Source organism: Homo sapiens, chromosome X (genome assembly GCF_000001405.40).
Source record: "Homo sapiens chromosome X, GRCh38.p14 Primary Assembly".
Classification (NCBI taxonomy): Eukaryota; Metazoa; Chordata; class Mammalia; order Primates; family Hominidae; genus Homo; species Homo sapiens.
The window spans coordinates 135,862,263-135,876,434 of record NC_000023.11 but is presented as its reverse complement, the minus strand read 5'-3'; the positions used below and the strand labels follow the sequence as shown (position 1 = coordinate 135,876,434).

At 43.1% G+C, this 14,172-nt stretch overlaps 1 protein-coding gene across 3 annotated transcripts; it reads left to right on the top strand.

The window, feature by feature from the left end:
* The first annotated feature begins 4,622 nt into the window (after positions 1–4,622).
* On the top strand, positions 4,623–13,017 carry CT45A9 (cancer/testis antigen family 45 member A9). Of its 3 annotated transcripts, none has more exons than NM_001321271.1 (5): positions 4,623–4,706; positions 8,368–8,542; positions 10,462–10,710; positions 11,091–11,184; positions 12,407–13,017. In NM_001321271.1, the coding sequence occupies exons 2-5, from the start codon at positions 8,374–8,376 to the stop codon at positions 12,462–12,464; spliced, it is 570 nt and encodes a 189-aa protein (NP_001308200.1). In that variant the 5' UTR covers positions 4,623–4,706; positions 8,368–8,373; the 3' UTR covers positions 12,465–13,017. The 3 variants fall into 3 exon arrangements, with proteins under 3 accessions (NP_001308200.1, NP_001278469.1, XP_006724859.1); NM_001291540.2 differs by having other exon boundaries at positions 4,623–4,861; XM_006724796.3 differs by lacking the exon at positions 4,623–4,706 and adding an exon at positions 4,713–4,878.
* Positions 13,018–14,172: the final 1,155 nt, after the last annotated feature.

Below are 14,172 nucleotides of genomic sequence, written 5' to 3'. Positions count from 1 at the left end.
GAGAAAGGTGGCCATTTTCCCTAAGAACTCGTTTAGGATATAAACCTAGAGAGTTGATATAAGCTTGAAATAGGAAATGATAGTACATTGCTGTCCTTTCTAGCTGAATTGAAATTCTTGTTTACGACAATTACTGAAAGAAAGCCAAACATTCACCTAATCAGTATTGTATATCAGGTTCCGAGGGATGTCACAGTTGCTGACACAACAAAACCACTTGTAGTACAGCAGCTGCAGTTGGAACAACAATTTGATTAAGTTTATGGTGCAATCTCGGCTCACTGCAACCTCCACCTCCCGGGTTCAAGCAGTTCTCTTGCCTCAGCCTCCTTGTGTAGCTGGGACTATAGAAACGCATTATCACACCTGGCTAATTGTTTGTATTTCTTAGTAGAGACAGAGTTTCACCATGTTGGCCAGGCTAGTCTCAAACTCCTGACCTCAAGTGATATGCCCACCTCAGACTCCCAAAGTGCAAGTGCGAGCCACTGCGCAGGGCCCCAGCTATTTTTTGTATTTTTGGTAGAGATGTGGTTTCGCCACTTTGGCCAGCCTCGTCTGGAACTCCTGACCTCAAGTGATCCACCCGCTTCTGCCTCCCAAATCCTGGGATTACAGGCGTGAGCCACTGTGTCCGGTGAAAACTTCACTTTTAAGTGAAACGCAGAAGCAAAATCTGATAATCAGAAAATGAGATACTGCGTGTTCTCATTCATATGTGGGAGCTAAACAATGGGTACACATGAAAATAAAGGTAGAAACCATTGACTCTGGGGACTCCAAAATGGAGGTAGAGGGGAGGGAGGGAGCGGGTCGGAGGGTTGAAAAACTACCTATTGGATACTCTCTTCACTATTTGGGTGATGAGTTCACTAGAAGCCCAAACCCCGGCACTGTGCAATTATATCCAAGCGAGAAATCTGTACATGTACCCTTCTGGCATCTATAATTTTAAAAAAGCTAACAAAGAAAGCTTCAGTTTTAAATCTTAACCAAATACACAGGAAAAGGATTACTATACTTGGACACCTTTACAGGTTTCTATGTTAGTTTTTGGTATTAAAGCAGAAACCTGTTCCTCGACCACTTTATTAATTGTATGTCCTCTTTGTACAAACATCGGAAATAGAAGACTGTCACTTTTGGTTCTGTAACTGTCTTGACTGCAGTCTTCTACAGCTTTCACAGAGTTAATGGTCCCTAGTATCTGCCATTCTCCAATTGCCCTGGGTGGCGAAATCGCTGCCATAGTAAACTTTTCACTGATAATTAGAGTTTCTGGAAACATGCAGGGCTCGTTATTTAAGAGTGACTCCATTTGGGCATTTTGGTGGATGGCCTACAGGTTTTCTTGCAGAGTATACTAGAGTCTCCAGAATGAATAACCCTAGGAACTTGAGGAACTAGCGCTTTCCAGAATTTTGGAAGCCGAGATACAAACATTGGTTTTCTCAAAAGCACTGCAAGTGGGAAGGAAAATCCATATCTAGACTAAATGTCTGTTCAGGTAAGAAGAAAGCACTTCTCTTTTTATAATAGAAGTGATCTATTGTAATCCACATACCAACTAGTGGCTGGCAGATCATTCTGGAGTCTGGTGCCAAATTGGGGGCTTAGTGTTGGTCTCCATTCCTGGAAGATTTTTCACTCAGCAATGACCGTAGCCAGGTTTGCCATGGTGAGTGGAGGTCCATGCTACTGCGCATAATCTCCAACCCTGCCAGTTTGACCACTTTGTTTGTTGAGCCGGTAAGATTGTGACACACGTGTTAGGGAAAGAGGCTGATTAATACCTAGATAATAAGTACCTTATCCATCTGATTATTAAAATTCTGCTCTGCTGAGGATACCCTTTGCTGAGAACTCTCATGAGACCCCAATATCTTCACATTGTATGTCCGTTTGGACAGGCCTGTCCACATATTTTTTTTTTCTCAGACTTCTTTGTCACACATTTTTAATCGTGTGTTCTCAAAGTCCCTGACAATTCAGCGAATGAGTGGGACACAGCCTATGCATGATACATACTTACACGTCTGGATATGCCTCCTCCAAGAAGGTGCACTGCTCAAAGTTCTTCCCTCTGGGAGGATTTCCCTTCATCACTGTCCTTCAGGGCTGTCCCAGTCAGGACTGTCGTATGCAGCTGTCCACTTGTGGCTTGTGTGGTAGGCAGGATTCTAATTAAGCCCCAACAAGATTCCAGTCTCATGGTTATTCAATCAAATACTCCTATGAGTACTGCTCTGGTGGGATTTTTTTAATGCAAAAAATGAGTATTTTATTTTGATAGCACTAGAGGAAACAAACAAAACAACTGTTCCTACATCAAAGTGAAAACAATGTTTAAGCTTTCCTATCAATCAAATATATTCCAAAAGAAAATGTGTTCTATGAAGGTTCTGAAGCACAGGCAAATATTAACACAATAGGCTAAGAAGCTGTAATACTGAATATGACTCTCTTCTAACAGGGTACTTAACAAACATAATTTTTAATTTTAATTTTAATTAATTAATTTATTTTGAGACGGACTCTCCCTTTGTCCCCCAGTGACAATGGATCTCTGCCCCTTTGGAGTGCAGTGACGCGATCTCTGCTCACTGAAGCTTGCACCTCTCAGGTTCAAGTGATTCTCCTGCCTCTGCTGCCCTAGTAGCAGGGAGTACAGGTGCCCACCACCATGCCTGGCTATATTTTTTAATTTTAATTTTAAGTTTTTTACAAACATAACTTTTGAATTACAAAACCAGTGAAGTAATCCCTTCCAAATAATTGTGTCAATAGTGAAACTGCCTGTTCCATTAAAACTCGAAAAATTTCGCTGTAATATTTTTTACCACTATGGACAATTCAAGTAAATTTTGCTGCACTTAAAATAAGTTGTGAAAGTAGAAAAATGGGCCGGGCATGGTGGCTCTCCCCTGTAATCCCAGGACTTTGGGAGGCCAAGGCAGATGAATCACTTAAAGTCAGGAGTTTGAGACCAGCCTGGAGAACATTGTGAAACACCGTCTCTGCTAAAAATACAAATACCAGCCGGGCATGGTGGTACATGCCTGTAATCCCAGCTTCTCGGGAGGCTGAGGAAGGAGAACTGCTTGAACCTGGGAGGCGGAGGTTGCAGTGAGCCAAGATCATGCCACTGCACTCCAGCCTGGGTGACAGAGCCAGACTGTCTCAAAAAAAATAAAAAAGGTGGAAAAATATACAAAGTTCCAGATTAAAATGATTAATAGATGCAATATAATAAGGTTTCCCCTCCTTCCATCCTTTCTTTCTTTCTCTCTTTCTTTCTTCCTTTCTTCCCTTCTTTCTTCCATCCTTCCTTTCTTCCTTTCTTCCCTTCTTTCTTCCATCCTTCCTTTCTTCCTTCCTTTCTTTCTTTCGTTCTTTCTTTCCTTCCTTCCTTCTTTTTTCTTTCTCTTTCTTTCTTTCTCTCTTTCTTTCTCTCTTTCTTTCTCTCTTTCTTTTTTTTGTAGACAGTCTTACTCTGTCACCCAGGCTATAGTGCAATGGTGCGAACAAAGGTCAATGCAGCCTCAACCTCCTGGTGTCAAGCCTCCCGAGCAGCTGGGACCACAGTTACACGCTCAGCTAATTTTTGTATTTTGTGTTAAGATGGGGTTTCACCATGCTGCCCAGGCTGCTCTTGAACTCCTGGGCTCAAGGAATCCACCCCTCTTGGTCTCCCAAATTGCTGGGATTACAGACGTGAGCGACCGCACTGGGGCCCTCATTTTTCTTATCAATTAACAATAATGGTTACCTTTAACAGATAGAGGTTGACTTTATTTATTGATTGATTGATTTTTATTTTTAGACAGAGTCTCACTCTGTTACCCAGGCTGGAGTGCAGTGGCATGATCTCAGCTCACTGCAAATTCTGCCTGCCCGGTTCAAGCGATTCTCCAGCCTCAGCCTCCCAAGTAGCTGGTGGGATTATAGGTGCATGCCACCACGCCCGGTAATTTTCTGTATTTTTAGTAGAGACGGGATTCACCATGTTGGTCAGACAGACTGGTCTCGAACTCCTGACCTCAGGTGGTCCAGCCCCTTCGGCCTCCCAAAGTGTTGAGATTACAGGCGTGAGCCACTGTGGCGGGTCGGGGTTGACTTTAAAACACAACCCCCTCAAATGAAAATTGCAGTTTGTTGTTGTTCTTTTTCTTTTTCTTTTCTTTTCCTTCTTTCTTTCTTTTTTTTTTTTTTTTTTCTGAGGTGGGGTCTCCTCTACCGCCTGGGCTGGAGTGCAGTGGCTCACTGCTACCTCCACCTCCCGGGTTCAAGCCATCCTCCCACCTCAACTTCCCGAGTAGTTGGGACCACAGGTGCGAGGCCACTAGGCCCAGCTAATTTGTGTGTTTCTTTCTTTCTTTCTTTCTTTCTTTCTTTTTTGATTAGTTGGTTGCTTTGTAGAGCCGGGGTCTCACTATGTTACCCAGGCGATTTCATCCCGCTGGGTGAGAAGGTTCTGCATTCCTCCGCATACGTTGCTGTGCAGTTGTTACTGAAGGTCGCCTGTAGAGGGCGCCAGAGTCAGCGAAGGGGAGGGCTGCGCTTCCTGGTTCTCTGGGGCACGAGGCTTCTCCTCAGCACTCTGGCGCCCCCAACAGGTTCCCAGTGTTCGGCTGGGGCAGGCACGCTGTGGCTGGCTACTTCCCTTCCTCCCATCCCCCTTGGGCCAAACGGGATCGGTGCTTCTGGTGAGACGCCTCCCCATGCACATCACTCCCAGGTGCCCTAGGGGGCACATTTCCCACAACTCCCAGAGGGCAGGTTTCTAGAAAGTGCCACCAGTGGGGAGGCGCCACAACTTCACTGCCATTTTGTGAGGTGCCGCCGTCTCTCCTCCAGCAAGGTCAGGACTTCAGGACTGTGAGTGGGCAGTTTTTCCCTGGATGCTTTAATTTCGCCCTGGAAAGTGTCCTTTTTCCTCAGAAAGAGTCTTTTCTGTGGTGTTCTCTGTCCGGTGTGTGGGAGGGCTCCCTTGGGGAAGTGGCTTAGCTCTGGGGACACCGCCATGGGCGCCTGTGTCAGCCGCGGGGGAGCGTTTTCCTTGGGCACCCCGTCTCGGCTATGTTGTGGGGCCAGGGGGCTTTTCTTGGGGGCTCTTGTTGGGGGCTCCCTGTCGGTGATGGAAAAGGCGACTTTTCCTGCTGAAATGACCTGAGCCCGGGGGGTGGGGGCCATGCCTTGGTTGCCTGTGTCGGTCTCGGGTGCGGCGGTGTTTCTTTCCCGCTCAGTCGCTGTCCTGAGGGGGGACTCTGCCCTGGGGTCACTATCTGTGCTCATGGAACGTGGTGGGGGTGGCTGTGCCCCGGACACATGATCGTAGCCCTGTGGGGTCACTGTCGGGGGCTTTATCTCAACCTCTGGTGGACTCTTCCTTGGGTACTGATGTCGGCCGTGAGGCGCATTTGTCCTCGGATGTTGCTCGCTCTCAGTTACAATGTGTTGGCTTTTCTTTGGTTCTGCTTATCCCCGTTGTGGACGCTTACTGGATGGATGCTTTCTCTTGGTGCTGGGTTTTTAAAATTATTATCTGTAGGTGCTCTCTCCCGGTGCCGCCGGGGAATGGGGTAATGTTCCTTGGATTCTCTAAGCCTATGGTGGGACTCAGGGAGCTCTGTGTCAGCCATGAAGGAGGCCACGTGACCTTGGGAACTCTGTCTCGACCCAGGTTGGGGTGCTTTTCCTCGGTTGGTTGATCGCAATTCTGAAGGAGCTCTTTCCTGGGATTCTATCTGACCTTTCAGCCACAGCCTCAGGTGTCTGTGTGGGAATGGGAGTCCAGAAATATTCGAAGGTTCCAGCTGTGCCACATTCGAACACTCGCAGTACAGTTAGTCTTTCATTCCAGCCACTCTGATGGGTGTGCAGTGATCTCTCCTTATGTCTACACTCGCATTTCTCTGCTGATTAATGAGATCGAGCACCTTTTTAAGAAATTGTTTTTATTTATTGATTTTTGTTTGTCTTTTGAGATGAGGTCTCCCTCTGTCACCCAGACTGGATTGCAGTGCCACCACACCCAGCTATTTATTGTTTTCTTTTTTTTTTTTTTTAGCACCATTTTATGTGTTTATTGGTCATTTAACTATGCCTTTTATGAAGTTCCTTTTCAGGTATTTTCCCCCAGCTTTTACTGAGATGTTTGTATTTTAAAAATGGATTTGTAGTTTCCATATATTCTGTATTTGAGTTATACGCACAGGCACACAGGCGTATATGTACATATACAAAAATACATATACAATTTTAGTATCTTCTATAAATCTTTTTTGCTTTTACACGATCTCAATAATGTGTTGTAGATGAACAGATTCTCTTAATTTTATTAATTAGTGTATTATTTATGGATAGTGCTTTTTATTATTTTAAGAAACATCTTTGACTCACCCAATGCCATTACGATAATATTCCTTTTCTTAAAATTATACTTTAAGTTCCGGGATACATGGGCAGAACGTGCAGGTTTGTTACATAGGAAGACACATGCCATGGTTGTTTGCTGCACCCATTGACCCGTCATCTACCTTAGGTATTTCTCTAATGCTATCCCTCCCCTAGCCCCCCAACCCCTGACAGGCCCCACTGTGTGATGTTCTTCTCCCCGCGCCCATGTGTTCTCATTGTTCAACTCCCACTTATGAGTGAGGACACGTGGTGTTTGGTTTTCTGTTCCTGTGTTAGCTTGCTGACACATGTCCCTTCAAAGGACATGAACTCATTCTTTTTTATGGCTGCATAGTATTCCGTGGTGTATATGTACCACATTTTCTTTATCCAGCGTCGTGGCAGGCGCCCGTAATCGCAGCTACTCAGGAGGCTGAGGCAGGAGAATTGCTTGAACCTGGGAAGTGGAGGTTGCAGTGAGCAGAGACTGTGCCACTCCACTGCAGCCTGGGTGACAGAGCGAGGCTCCGACTCAAAAAAAAAAAAAGTAATGTCTTCCAATGCATGGAAAGAATATTTTTCTCCATTTACTGCAGTCTTGAATTTCTCTGAGTGATGTTTTATAATTTTTGTGAAGTACTCTAGCACATCTTGATTAGATTTATTCCTAAATATTTGATGTTTTTGGAACTGTTTTTAATGACATTTGAAATCTCATATTCTAATTATTCGTTATACAGAATTGCCATTCTGTATAATGCCATTCATTATACAGAATTGCTATTCATTATACAGAAATGCCATTGGTTTTCATTGTATCTAGTAAGTTGACTAAATTTGCTTATTAACTGTAATGATTTTATTCTTCTGCATTTTTCTATGTACAGAACAATGTCATCTGTGAATAATGACAGTTTTATTTCTTTCCAAATTTTAAACCTATTGTATTTTCCTGATGATATGGCACTTTTTGGAACCTCCAGTAAATTGTTGAATGGATAGTGGACATCTTTGTCTTGTTTTCAAACTCAGGGAGAAAATACTGATACGTCACTATGAAGTATGGCATTTAAAAATTTTTTGTACATATGCTAACCAGAATAGGAAAGTTGCCCTTTTTCCTAAGTTGGTGATAGTTTTTATCACGAATGGACTTTAAACATTGATCCATGTATGAAAATGATCATGCGGTGTTTCCCTGTTTTTGTTGTTGTTGTTGTTGTTGTTGTTAATGTGGTGCACTACATTTGTCGATTTTCAAATGTTAAATCAGTGTTGCCTTTCTGCAATATACTCCACCATGGCTGATGTATGTCCTTTTTAAGTACTAGTACATTTTATTTGCTCACCCTTAGTTTGGAATTTTTGTGTCTAAGTTCGGGGTGATCTTGGCTTGTATTTTTGGCTTGATCTTGTAGTTTTTCATTCTTCTAAATTCCTTGTCAGATGTTGTTATCAGTTTTGTATCAATCTTCTAATAAGGGTTCCTAATAAGGGTTAATACACGTTGGTTTATGCATCTATTTGAATATATAAGCATAAATACTTATATATTAAATATATATGATATATAATATATAATTTAAAATATAATGTATAATAAGGGTTAATACAGATTGGTTTATACATCCATTTTTTCTAATAAGGGTTAATACAGATTGGCTTATACATCTTCAAATAGGTAATAATATTTTTATCTATTTTTGGTTGATGACAGCTGCTTATTCCACAAGCATTCTGATTGATTTGGTTATACCATCTTTCTTCTGTTTTACTTTGTGTACATTAAAATTAGGTTTCTTTTCCTGAGAACAGAGTGTTTGTTGAGACTTGGTAAATCTTGGCTCATGATTAAAAGTGAAATTAATGATTCAAAGTCTTGGTTGTATACACATATGCAGATTGCTTGCCATTTTGTGATTGTTAGATTTTTGTCATGAATAGAATATATTCATTGATGTTTTTCAGGAAACAATGACCGATAAAACAGAGAAGGTGGCTGTAGATCCTGAAACTGTGTTTAAACGTCCCAGGGAATGTGACAGTCCTTCGTATCAGAAAAGGCAGAGGATGGCCCTGTTGGCAAGGAAACAAGGAGCAGGAGACAGCCTTATTGCAGGCTCTGCCATGTCCAAAGAAAAGAGTAAGTAAGCCTGTCCTCACGTCCTCCTCATGCTCCTGCCTCATCCCCTCCAGAGAAACTGTCCTTGTCAAGGTTAACAGTTTCGGCTGACATTGCCATTAACTTCTCAGCAGCATTTGACAGTTGTTCACTCGCTTCTTCATGAAAACCTTCTAGGATTTCCATTTCCGACAATCTTTTTTTTTTTTTAATTTCTTGTCCGTATTGGTGAATCCCTATCATTTTTTTCTTGAGATGGAGTTTCGCTCTTCTCAGCCAGGCTGGAGTGCAGTGGCGCGATCTCGGCTCACTGAAATCTCCGTCTCCTGGGTTCAAGTGATTCTTCTGCCGCAGCCTCCCGAGTAGCGGGATTACAAGCACCAGCCACCACACCCAGCTAATTTTTGTAAGTTTAGTAGAGATGGGGTTTCGCCATGTCGGCCAGGCTGGTCTGGAACTCCCCCCCTCAGGTGATCCACCCACCTCAGCCTCCCAAAGTGCTGGGATTACACGCACGAGCCACCGCCCCCGACCCCATCATTGTTTTTTTCTACATTTCTTTTTCTTCTCTTCTCTAAATACTGTAAAAAATTCCTGAACCCCAGCATCTCTCCCTCTCCTTCTATTCCACTCTGCCACGATCAATCACTGAGCTCCTGAGATACCTCCATGTTTCCCATTATTTCCCGCATCAAACACATACCCTCCAACCCTGCAGCCGGGTCATGATGTTGGCATGTAAATCACGTGATGCCATGTCGCTCCTGAACACCCATCCTCAACACTCCTAAGCACTCAGAACCGACTGCGAAGCAGCTTTGGTCTGCGAGGTTCTGCGTGGCCTGGCCTCCGTCACCCTCTCCTCACACGGGCCCCATCATCTCCTGACCCTCTCTGCTACTGTCCTTCACCCCGTAGTGCCCGGTCCATCCCCACTCCAGCCCATATCCTTGGCCTCACCGCAACCTGGAACTCCCCCTCTGCCTCTGCGCAGGCAGCTCTGCTTTTTCCTTCAAGCCCTGCCCAAGGGTACCTCCACAGAAGGCTCTGCCCAACCAGCAGCAGCTCCTGGGGCTCCCTCTGCTGCTGTTGCCCACAGGCCTGTGGACTGCTTCCTTACCACTAGCCCAACACTGTATGTTTCATTTGCTCATTGTGCACGTACTGTCTGACCGCCCCATGAGGATGTGAGCTCCACAAGGGCAGGGAACGTTGCTCTCTGGGCTGTTTACTGCTGATCCCCAGCTACCGGCACACTGCCTGCCACAGACGATGAATAAATGAGAGGTGTCAGACCTGGAGTGAAAAGAAAGTCACTTTTGTGAGACAGAAAGGAAGGATGAGGAAAATCATACACTAAAAGGGATTTTTTGTTGATGGAGTACATATAGAACTTTCAGCAGTAATGGCCACCTCTATTTTCTCAGAATATGTTTGATGTAGAGAGGAGGCTGGTTGAGGTGTGTCCAAGTTGTCTGGCTTCCAGCTTAGTAAAACATGGCAGTTTGTAAGTGAATTTGAGAAATCATGATATCAAGTGAGACTTGCTGCTTTCAACTTGTAAAGCATAACAAGCTGAAACTGTCCCATGAGTACCAGGGATCTGTGAATGTTGCTTTAGAGTTGTACTGCCTTACTTGGTTTCCATGTCTATTCATAGGGCCAGAAAATAAGAGGTGGTTTTATTGTATTATGTGTCCTGGCCTCCGTTTGTCAGGCCTGGGATTTCTCCCTGGTGTATCCTCCCATTTATTAAATAAATAATTCCCTAGAAACTGAGGAGCACATAGATGTACCCAGAGGGGTGATGAAACACACATATCTCACAGCTCAACTTCTCAGTTTGATTTCCAGAGCTGTCATTCATGAGGTCTATGTGGAGGGGAAAGAAAGTGGTCAAACACCAACTGATGGCTTTTACTCAAAATCTGTTTCACCAGAGCTTATGACAGGACATGCTATTCCACCCAGCCAATTGGATTCTCAGATTGATGACTTCACTGGTTTCAGCAAAGATAGGATGATGCAGAAACCTGGTAGCAATGCACCTGTGGGAGGAAACGTTACCAGCAGTTTCTCTGGAGATGACCTAGAATGCAGAGAAACAGCCTTCTCTCCCAAAAGCCAACAAGAAATTAATGCTGATATAAAACGTCAATTAGTGAAGGAACTCCGATGCGTTGGACAAAGTAAGTAGTATAAGAATGTCTGTTTTATAAAACTATAGGAAGTCTCTCTTTCTATGATTCAGAAGATATTCATGTTGCCTGTTGAGTTTCATTCTTTGCCAGAGTTGAGATTGCACATAATTTATGGTGGTTCCTCTTTTCTTTGACTAAAGCATGTACATTTTTTCTTTTTCTTTTCTTACTTGGTTATGGTTAAAGGAGTTACATTCGTATGTATGTGCAGGTGTCTTTTTTATTATTTAGGTTTTGTATGTGCAGGTATCTTGATTTAAGCATTTAAAACATTTCAGCCTCTGAAGCATGATTGCTGAGGTGTAGATTCACTTCTATTCTTCTTTATATTTGATAATACTGAAGTTTTTTTTTTTCAACATCTTCAGAATATGAAAAAATCTTCGAAATGCTTGAAGGAGTGCAAGGACCTACTGCAGTCAGGAAACGATTTTTTGAATCCATCATCAAGGAAGCAGCAAGGTGGGTAGAAATAGGAACTGTCCAATTTCTTTAAGCACTTGGGCTCAATAGAGCACTGGGGGTGAGCGTTGGGGAACAGCCCCTGCCTTGCGTTTCTCAAACCCTGGTCCTCACTCACAGTTACGGCTGTCTCCACAGTTACTTAGGCTAATGTTATCTGAGTCTAACTCATTCTTCGAAGACTATGGAGACTTCCATTTTCACCATAGTCTGAGGTGCGCATTGTCCCTCAATTGACACTCTTTGTATTTGCTAGACTACCTCTTTTTAAAAAATTTGTGTAGGCACATAGCAGATGCATATATTTCTGGGCTATATGAGATATTGTGATACAGACAACAATGTGTAATAATCACATCAAGGTAAGTGGGGTTTCTATCACCTCAAGCTTTTATCCTTTGCGTTACGGGGAGAATACAATTATACTCTTCATTATTTTTAAATGTGCAATTAAATTATTACCGACTATAGTCACCCTGTTGGGCTATGAAATACGACATCTTATTTATTCCATACTTCTACGTATTAATCATCCCCACTTCCCACACCCTCCACCCCCACTAACCTTTGTAGCCTCTGGTAACTGTCATTCTACTCTCTATCTCCATTAGTTCAGTTGTTTTACACTTTTACTCCCAAAAATAAGTGAGAACATGTGAAGTTTGTCTTTCTGTGCCTGGCTTATTTCACTTAACATAAGGACCTTCGGTTCTATCCGTGTTGTTGCAAATGACTGAATCTCATTCTTTTTTTTATGGCTAAACAGTACTCTGTGGTGTATATGTACCATATTTTCTTTACCCATTCACGTGTTAGTGGACACTTAGGTTGCTTCCAAATCTTGGCTACTGTGAATGGTGGTGCAGGAAACATGGGAGTGCAGATATCTCTTCGGTACACTGACTTCCTTTCTCTTGGGTATATACCCAGCAGTGGGATTGCTGGATCATATGATAGCTCCATTTTTAGTTGTTTGAGGAACCTCCAAACTGTTCTTCATAGTTGTTGTAGTAATTTATGTTCCCACCAACAGTGTATGAGGGTTCCCTTTTCTCCACACCCTTGCCAGCATTTGCTATGCCGGCTAGACTGCCTCTTACCATGCAGATACATTTCTATTTCCATGCTGACTGTTACTTCATCTTTCTATCTGTCACAGCGCTTCCTACAGCATAGGTTCTTTGGCTATCTTTTGGTTAATGACATGTCTCTTTCTCTTCAGATGTATGAGACGAGACTTTGTTAAGCACCTTAAGAAGAAACTGAAACGTATGATTTGAGAATACTTGTCCCTGGAGGATTATCACACCCCAAATGCATAATCTCATTAATGATTGAGGAGAGAAAAGGATCAGATTGCTGTTTTCTACAATGGAGCAGGATATTGCTGAAGTCTCCTGGCATATGTTACCGAATCAACTGGCCTTCCAGAGGCTAAGAAATTTCTGTTAGTAAAAGATGTTCTTTTTCCCAAAGCGTTTTATTTGAAAGGATAACTTGTGTTTTGGTTATTTTGTATTCCCACCTGTGCTGGTAGATATTATTAACCCATTAGGTAAATACTATTACAGTCGTGGTTTCTGCAGCAGCTCACACTGATGTAGCTGGCGTTTATAACTACCTTCTTTCGCTACCCGTTTCGCATTCCCTTTGCCCTGAGATAGCATGTCAGTTGGTCATGATGCTTGGCCTGGCAGGATGACTCAAACCTTCATTACGGAAGAGTCTGAACCATTAGATATCCTGCCTGGATGGGGTTGCTGTGATTTTCCATTAACTCTAATCGAAAAACACGGGAGGACTAAGAAGCTCTCTAGACATATCACACATACTCTTCCTTAGCCCCTGGTGTGGTGGGAACCCGATCTCAATGTTGAAATCTGTATCATCAGCCTTCAACGAAAAGGCAGAACTAATGGGAGATTTTAATGTGTGTGTGTGTGTGTGTGTGTGTGTGTGTGTGTGTTGGTAGGGGGTATATATACATGCACACACACACTTTCTAATCTCCCATTATACATATAATACACATTACACATATTATATATACACCCCCATATATATATATGTATGCGTGTGTGGGGGGGTATATCCAATATATATAATAAAGGTAGTTCCTAGATAGGATTGGTCTGATACAATAATTTGGAGCTGCAGTAGCAGTCCCTGTAAGGCTGTTGTTTCCAGATAGGACTTGAACATTCTATGCTTTTTATTTTTTTTAAAGACAGAATCTTGCTCTGTTGCCCAGGCTAGAGTGCGGTGACACGATCACAAGTCACTGCCACCTCGACCTCACCCCAGTTCAAGCGATCCTTGTGCTTCAGCCTTCGAAGTAGCTGGGATTACAGGTGCACCACAGGTGCCATCACGCTGCAATTTTTGTATTTTTAGTGGAGATGGGGTTTTGCCATGTTGTCCAGGCTGGTCTCGAAACCTGGCCTCAAGTGATCTGCCCATCTCAGCCTCCCAAGGTTCTAGGATTACAGGCATGAGCCACTGCACCCAGCCCATTCTATGCTTTTTTTTAAAAAATTAATTCATTCAATTATTCAACAAATATTAATTGTGCCAGGTACTTTTTTTTTATTATACTTTAAGGTTTAGGGTACATGTGCACAACGTGCAGGTTTGTTACATATGTATACATGTGCCATTTTTGTGTGCTGCACCCATTAACTCATCATTTAACATTAGGTATATCTCCTAATGCTATCCCTCCCCCCTCCCCACACCCCACAACAGGACCCAGTGTGTGATGTTCCCCTTCCTGTGTCCATGTGTTCTCATTGTTCAGTTCCCACCTATGAGGGAGAACATGCGGTGTTTGGTTTTTTGTCCTTGCGATAGTTTGCTGAGAATGATGGTTTCCAGCTTCATCCATGTCCCTACAAAGGACATGAACTCATCATTTTTCATGGCTGCATAGTATTCCATGGTGTATATGTGCCACGTTTTCTTAATCCAGTCTATCATTGTTGGACATTT

Bases quoted from the DNA above. Each gene is read 5' to 3' on its own strand.
- CT45A9 (NM_001321271.1), top strand. From the start codon at position 8,374: ATGACCGATAAAACAGAGAAGGTGGCTGTAGATCCTGAAACTGTGTTT. The intron at 10,711-11,090 runs GTAAGTAGTATA...CAACATCTTCAG, and splicing joins ACTCCGATGCGTTGGACAAA to AATATGAAAAAATCTTCGAA. The intron at 11,185-12,406 runs GTGGGTAGAAAT...CTTTCTCTTCAG, and splicing joins ATCATCAAGGAAGCAGCAAG to ATGTATGAGACGAGACTTTG.